Source organism: Homo sapiens, chromosome 16 (assembly GCF_000001405.40).
Source record: "Homo sapiens chromosome 16, GRCh38.p14 Primary Assembly".
NCBI classification, from domain to species: Eukaryota; Metazoa; Chordata; class Mammalia; order Primates; family Hominidae; genus Homo; species Homo sapiens.
The window spans coordinates 10592050-10600056 of NC_000016.10; the positions used below are offsets into that span (position 1 = coordinate 10592050).

The 8007-nt window shown below is 49.1% G+C and overlaps 2 annotated features.

Moving 5' to 3' along the window:
• Positions 2240–2756: an enhancer, noted in NCBI's record as "H3K27ac-H3K4me1 hESC enhancer chr16:10688146-10688662 (GRCh37/hg19 assembly coordinates)". NCBI's record gives its function as "activates a minimal SCP1, AML or CMV promoter by ChIP-STARR-seq in primed H9 embryonic stem cells {active_cell/tissue: H9 hESC(primed)}" and the evidence as "EXISTENCE:reporter gene assay evidence [ECO:0000049][PMID:30033119]".
• Positions 5183–5477: an enhancer, noted in NCBI's record as "tiled region #2211; HepG2 Activating DNase matched - State 4:PromP". NCBI's record gives its function as "activates a minimal TATA promoter and a strong SV40 promoter by Sharpr-MPRA in HepG2 cells {active_cell/tissue: HepG2}" and the evidence as "EXISTENCE:reporter gene assay evidence [ECO:0000049][PMID:27701403]".

An 8007-nucleotide genomic window follows, 5' to 3' on the forward strand; every position in this document is an offset into this window, starting at 1 on the left:
TGACTTGCTCAAGGGCACATGGCAGGTCAGGAGACAACACAAGATGTTGGTCAAGAAAACAACAAGAAAACCAAGCTCCTGGTCCAGTGGATTTTCCCCTAATTTGGTTGGTTTCAACCATTTTTTTTTTTAAAGAGATGGGGTCTCACTTTGTTGCCCAGACTGGTCTCAAATTCCTGGGCCCAAGTGATCCTCCCATCTTGGCCTCCCAAAGTGCTGGGATTACAGATGTGAGCCACCATACCTGGTCTCAACCTTTTAAGAATCAGAATCTTTTATCTTTTTGTTCAGATGAAATATTGTGGGGAACAGAATGTATAAATCAGACCTAAAGGAGGGGGGGTTAAGGGGGCCATGGCACATAGCAGGTGCTCAACAAATACCTGTGGAATGAATGAAAGAATAATATCTCTCCTAAAGAAAGAGCACACAGGCCTCAACTCAGAAGTTTGGTTAGGCAACAGCCTCCAGGTAGAATTGAAAATCATTGTTTTGCTTTGGCTCTGTTTTTCTAATTTCCTTCCATTCAGGCTTGAGATTGTGATTTTCTGTTTATGGTAGTGGTAAAAAAAAATTCATTTTGAAATAAATTTAAGTCAAAAACATAAGTTGATTTTTTTTAAATGAAGTAAAATCAAAGGTCACGAAACTTTTTCTGTAAAGGGCCAGATAGCAAATATTTTTAACTTTGCAGGCCATTCATCTCAACTATAAATGGGTGGGCCTGGCTGTGTTCCAATAAAACTTTATTTACAAAGGCAGACTTGGGATCATATTTGGCCCACAGGCTGCAATTGAACAAACTCTGAAATAATAATATAGGTAGGAGGTACTGAAAAGGCAGTAACTGTGAAGGTGGTATTGGGATGACCAAATTCAGAACTCTGTTCCAGCATAAATCTAGGAAATCAAGGACAATAACACAGAGAAGTAGAGAGTGAATCTTGGGGCCTCTTCCCCACGTGCAGCCCCCAGACCTTTCATGGCACATCTATCGATCCTGCCCTTTTGCATCCCCCAAAAGGGATGTTAAGGGATCCCCCCAGAAACGTTCTAAGGGCTTTAATTCCTGTCTTTCCTCTTTGCAGTTGTATCCAGTGCCTATCCATTTAATAAACTGGGGCTGGGTCTGAGGACACTTAGCAGACATAGGAGGGCCAAGGAAGCGCCCTTCAACCCAAATCACCCTCTCGTATCCCCTTCTCTGTGCCAGACTCTGCAGAGAATGTTCCTTTGGCTTCTCGAGGTGTCACTGGGTAAAATTCTTAGATGGGAAGCCCCGTGAATCCATTGTCAGTCATTATCCCATTAGCTACACATCAACTGTTAGCACCTTAGCTAGAGCACGAGCAACCAGCTTTGCGAAGTGACAGAACAGAATATGGAGTGGAAAGAGTCCAGAGAGGTGGGGCCCATCCCAGCATTTTCTAGGAAGGGAAAGTAAAACTTAGGGGATAGAGAAAGGAGACATAGCAAGTGATGACAGACACCAGACTGTCCTCAGTATCGCCCATCTAAGCTTCTCTTCCTTACTCCCACCTTATTGAACACCTAAGTGCCGAACACTTTTTACGTGCCCTGGCTTCATCTAATCCTCACCACACTAGAAAGTAGGTGCTGTGACCCCTGTTTTACAGATGAGGGAGCAGAGGCTCAGACAGGTTAACTAAGTAGGTGGCAAGAGCCAAGACTCAAAGCTCTGCGGAACTCCAAATTTTTTTTTTGAAACATAGTTTCGCTCTTATTGTCCAGGCTGGAATGCAATGGCGTGATCTCAACTCACTGCAACCTCCACCTCCTGGGTTCAAGTGATTTCCCTGTCTCGGCCTCCTGAGTAGCTGAGATTACAGGCATGTGCCACCACACCCAGCTAATATTTTTTTTTTTTTTTGTATTTTTAGTAGAGACGGGGTTTTGCCATGTTGGTGAGGCTGTTCTCGAACTCCTGACCTCAGGTGATCCGCCTGCCTTGGCCTCCCAAAGTTCTGGGATTACAGGCATGAGCCACCGTGCCCGGCCTCCAAATTCTTTTAAAAAAAAATATTATTATTGCTACTATTTTTAGAGACAGGGTCTCACTATGTTGCCCAGACTGGTCTTGAACTCCTGGGCTCAAGTGATCCTCCCACCTTGGCCTCCCAAAGTGCTGGGAATACAGGCTTGAGCCACCATGCATGGCCAAAATTATTTTTTTCATTTAAGTTCATGTATTTATTTTTAGTGATATATTAGATATACATATTTTTAGGGTACATGTAATAATTTGATACATTCATATAATCAAATCAGGATAATTGGAATATCCAAGGATCTCCAAATTCTTAATGACCACACTCAACTGTCTTGTGTCCCCCTCAAGCTTTCTCTCCTTAGTGGCCTCTTCATGCATTTATCTTGACCCAATCTCCATTTCATTTCCAGCCCCGGAATACTTCCTCCTTTCCCTCCACCAGGAGGTGAGATGCTCTCAGGAAGCCTGACTCAAGTGACCTTGTGCCCAGCACATCCTCGTTCCTGGAAGGATGCCAGGGAACCTCTGGGTCCTTTCAGTTGATGGTCTCAAACCCAGAGTCAGTGCAGACTGGGGCTGTTCTGAGGAAGGGAGACCAGGTGCCTCCCCATCTGCAGGGCAGGAGTGTCACAGTTCACTGGCTGGCACCCTCACCAGCCCACACCCTACACTCACCCAACCAGTTGGGCCACACCACCCACATGCCAGGCGGATCCGTTTGGACGGGCGCACAGCATGACCCAGCTTGTCTGCCACCTGTCCTCGGCTGCTGGGTTCCTCCCATCCTCCCACCTCCCAGGTGCCCCAGGTCCAGGTGTTCAAGGGCTCCTCCGTGCACATGCCCCTCCTCCATGAGAACGCTTTGTGTGTCTCACAAAGAAGAGAAACAGATCGTTTCCTGGAAGCTCAGGGAAGATCACTGCTGGGGATTCCCTGGCCCTGGGTGCCGGGCTCCCCTTTGTGGGAAGTGATTCTGAAGCCCAAGTATTCCTGTATGGAGGGAGGTTGGAGAAGTTCTTCCCAAGGGGATGGAAGGCCAGGTTGGCGTTCTGATATGACTTCCTTGTCTCTTGCCTGGCCTCAGTTTTCCCATTTGAAAACAGGACAAAGAATTCCCTCATTGTAACTCTCTGAAGTATTCTATAGAGGATTACTTGGCATTACACACACTCCACTGCCCCCTTAATTAATTTATTCTTTTATTCAAATATTTTTAAATTTTGTATTTTAAAATTTTGTATTTTTATTTTTTTGAGACAGAGTCTCACTCTGTTGCCCAGGCTGGAGTGCAATGGTGCCATCTCGGCTCACTACAACCTTTGCCTCCCAGGTTCAAGTGATTCTCCTGCCTCAGCCTCCTGAGTAGCTGAGACTACAGGAGCCTGCCACCACCATGCCCGGCTAATTTTTGTATTTTTAGTAGAGATGGGGTTTCACCATGTTGGCCACGCTGGTCTCAAACTCCTGGTCTCAAGTGATCCACCTGCCTCGGCCTCCCAAAGTGCTGAGATTACAGGCATAAGCCACAGTGCTCAGCCTCAAATATCATTTTTTTGAAACGCTGGCCAAGTTCCAGGGGCTCTGCCTGGCCCAGGAAGGTAGGAGGAGGCGCAACACTCAGAGAAGGGGCTTACACCAAACGGGAGGCCGACAAAAGCAAATCAACATATAAGGCAGCCAAGCAACCTCAGCTCACGATATGTGCCCTGAGGAAAATATAGCTGGAGGACGTGGTAGACACTGACCACAGGGGCAGGGCAGGGCCTGAGGACACCGCGGATAAAGGCTGAAACAACCAGAAAGAACCACCGTGAGAAGGAAGGTCTGCCGCTGAATGTTCTGAGCGAGGAAGCAGCAAGTCCAAGTGCCCTGGGGTGACTAGGAGCTTGCCCTGTCTGAGGCATAATCAGTGACCGTGTTGCTGAAACATGGCGCACGATGGGGAAAGTGGCAGGAATGAGGTCAGAGGGAAAGGCTGGGGCGGGAGCCTGTGGGGAGCCCTCTGAGGATTCTGCGTGCAGCAAGAGCCTCCCCAGCCACAGGAGATACAAGATCTTGCATGACTTGGGAGGAGCCTAGAAGTGGGTACCACCTTCCTCCCCCACCCCTGGTTCCCTGGGGCTGGGACTCCTATTTGGAGAGAGGATCTGATCGGCTTAGCTTGGGTTATATGTCCACCCCCATGGCCATGGGGAAGCCAGAACCCCTTATTAGACACCCCCATCCCCCAGATCTGTACAGCATGGCCAAAGGGTAGTTCCCAAAAGGGAATGCATGCAGCTAGCAGAGAAAGGAGGACTGGGCACTGGGCAAACAGAAGCCACAGCTGTGCGCTCCTTTCCACCTGACTCCCACTTCCGACCTAGATTTTGATGCCTTTCTCTGCTGTCTGAGCCCCACTCGCCACCATTTCCTACCCACCCCAGGAGTTTCTGGGATACTGGGTGGCACCCATTTGTCACTTAATAGAATCATAAAACTGAGAGAAATGCCCAGGACCATCGTGTCACTGTTGCACTTTGGAGATGGGGAAACAGTCTGGCGTGGTGAGAAGCCATGGGTCCTAGAACTTTGTGCTTCTGATTTACCCACCATGGAATTCTGCTGCTTCTTTTAGGATTCCTGAAGGAATTCCTTGTCCCCCGCTCCCACCTTCAGCAGCTTCATTTCACCCATGTGGGTGTGGCCACAATGTAAGGAGATGGTTTTTCTTTTCCTTGTGCAACCCAGCTAAGAAGTTTGCATCACACGTCATGTTTCCCCATAGACATACTACAGCTTATGGAGCTGGCTATGCCTGGGTTTGACTGACTGTGTGACATTACACAGTCATTTAACCTCTCCGTGCCTTCATTTTCTCATCTGTAAAATGGGACTACTACTACTACTACTCCCTACCTCCTAGGACTGCGGAAAGGTTGAGTTCGAATACGCAAAGCACTTAGAATAACCCTTCGGGTATATTACCTTCAGAGTGGTGATGTGTAATTTGTAAGCCCCTACAATGACTTGCACACACTTCATGCTTTGAAACTCTTTGTGAATTTCTTTTGTTCCTTCATTCAACTAACACCTTTTGGGCATTTGCCAGGCCCAGGCACTCACAGTGAACAGGCCAGACAAGGTCCCCACCCTCTCTAGGGGTAGAGATAGACCATGGGGGGAAAAATCAATCAGTCAATAAGCAAGAAAACAAGACACTTTCAGTATGACAAGTGCTAGGAAGAAATGAAACAGGGTGACAGAGAGAGAGTGGTGAGGGCGCTGTTGAGGCAGTGATCTGGGAAGATCTCTCTGAAGGGTGACAGTTAGACTAGAAGAGTAACCAGCCATGGAACAAAAACTTCTTGTAGAGGACATAAACAGCAGGTGCAAAGTCCCTGGGGTAGGGAAGAGTCACGTGCGTGTGATGGAAAGGAGGAAGTTGCTATGGCTGGAATGAGTTGGGGGAATGAGAGATAAGGAGAAACCAGAGAGGCAGGCAGGGGCCACATTAAGCAGCTCTCCTTGACCATGGTAGGAATTTGAATTTGATCCTAAGGATGGTGGAAGCCTGTGAACAGCTGAAGCAGTGGAGTGAATGAGCCAATTCATGTTTTCTGGCTACTGTGGGAGAAATGGATTGGAGGGGACAAGATTAGAAAAGGAGAGACCAGTCATGAGGCTGTTGAGAAATGGTGAGACATATCCTTGGGTCCCTACAGAGCACTTAGCCAGGCACCTGGGGCACCTCATCAAAGAGCACTGCTCACAACCTGCAGGTGGTCCCTGCTTGTGAGGCTTCATCACTCCACGAATGAAAGAGGATAACTCCATACAACCTGGGGTGCCCTGGGCAGAGAACTGGAGGTGTGTCCCTGCCTGGAACCTGCTCCAGGATCAATCCTTTTTTTTTTTTTATGAGACGGAGTCTTGCTCTGTCGCCCAGGCTGGAGTGCAGTGGTGCAATCTCAGCTCACTGCAACCTTCGCCTCCTGGGCTCAAGCGATTCTCCTGCCTCAGCCTCCTGAGTACCTGGGATTACGGGCACCCGTCACCACACTAGGCTAATTTTTATGTTTTTAGTAGAGACAGGGTTTCACCACATTGGCCAGGCAGGTCTTGAACTCCTGACCTCAAGTGATCCACCTGCCTAAGCCTCCCAAGGTGCTGGGATTACAGGCGTGAACCACTGCACCCAGCCAGGAATCAGTCTTGTTCCAGCAGCCCTGCTAGGGCCCTGGCTCTGGCCTCTTTCCAACCTCCGGGGAGTGCCCAGGGCAGAAATCCGGCCCTGCCCACCCTGGGCTGCACACCGATAACCTCCCCAAAGGGAAGCCGTTTGTTTGGAAGGAAATGGTGCAGAATGAGCAGTGGCCACGCTTAAAATAGGGCTGGAGCCTGGTTTCCAGGGCTGAGCTGGGAGCGCTGGAGCTGAGATTTCAGTGGCTGAGACGTTCGGTGGCCTTTCCCGGGGCTGTGGAGATCAGATTCCGTTTGGCACCCTCTGCCTTGCCCCAAGGAGCTTCCAAGAGTTTTCTTGTAATGCCATTCTTGGGGCAATGCGCTAAGCATTCAGGGGCATAATCACTTTTTTTTTTTTTTTGAGATGGAGTTTTGCTCTTGTCACCCAGGCTGGAGTGCAGTGGTGCCATCTCGGATCACTGCAACCGCCGCCTCCCAGGTTCAAGCGATTCTCCTGTCTCGGCCTCCTGAGTAGCTGGGATTACAGGCACTTGCCACCACCCCTGGCTAATTTTTGTATTTTTAATAGAGACGGGGTTTCACCATGTTGGCCAGGCTGGTCTCGAACTCCTCACCTCAAGTGAAGGGGCATGATCACTTTTAATCCTCAGTCCTGGGAAGTGGGGGCATAATAAGCCCTCGTTTCAAAGAGCAGAGCACAGAGGTGTTGATGGGTTTAAAGTCCTGTCCAAGAGCGAGCTCCTCTCAATGCCTTGGGGGGATCCAGAGGAAGATGACAGTTCCACAGAGGGGTCTTTGGGGCTGACCCATGACACTTTACTCTCCCTGTCTCTACTTCCTCCTTCATTCTGGCATTTTCTTGTCCCCATCTCACCCCATGATGAGGAAGAGGGTTGGAAGTTGGGAATTATAATCACCTGGCTGCACCCTGGTAACACCTGGGGAACTTTTAAAAGATGCTGCTGCCAACACCCCACCTCTGACCAATTCAGTCAGGTACTGGGGTGGGGCCCTGGCACTGGTCTTTAAAAAAAAAAAAAAAAAAGATTTCCCCGGGGAATCCTAACATGCAGCCAAGGTTGACAGCCACTGCTTTAAAGCCTTTCCAATTCCAATCCTGCAGTTCCCCGCCTTGACGGATTGTCGCAAATCACCTGGGTAGATGTTATTATGAACTCACATCTGAGCTGCACCCCAGGCCAATTAAGCTAGGATCCCTGAGGATGGGGTCTGGGCACTATATTTTTGAAGAGCTCTCACAGGTGATTCCCAAGGGCAGGCAAGGTGGGGAAGCTCTGTGAGTCCAGTCTCGTAGGTGTACAGATAGGGAAACTGAGGCCCAGAGGAAGGTGGCAACTTGTCCAGGGTCACACAGCAGCTAGTGGAGTTCAAACCCAACACTCTAGACCCCCCAGGCTAGCACAGCCCTAATGCAGGAGGTCTAGGGGCCTACTGCCTGCTGTGATCGTAACCATCAGCCCTCGTGAACCTCACCCTTCTGTAATTCTCCCTTTGAGGATGGGTGGACCTGAGAATATACCGAGCTGTCGCTCCTGTGACTATATTACCTTTATTACCTTACTTAGCAAAAGGGATTTATTGGTTGAGTTTCAGTTCCTCAAAAGGAACTTATCCATGTGGGCCTAATCTAAGCACATAAACCTTATAGAAGCAGAGTATGGCCAGGTGCAGTGGTTCATGCCTGGAATCCCGAGTTGGGCAGATCGCTTGAGTCCTGGAATTCGAGAGCAGCCTGGGCAACATGGCAAAGCCCCATCTCTACAAAAAAGTACAAGAATTAGTAGGGCATG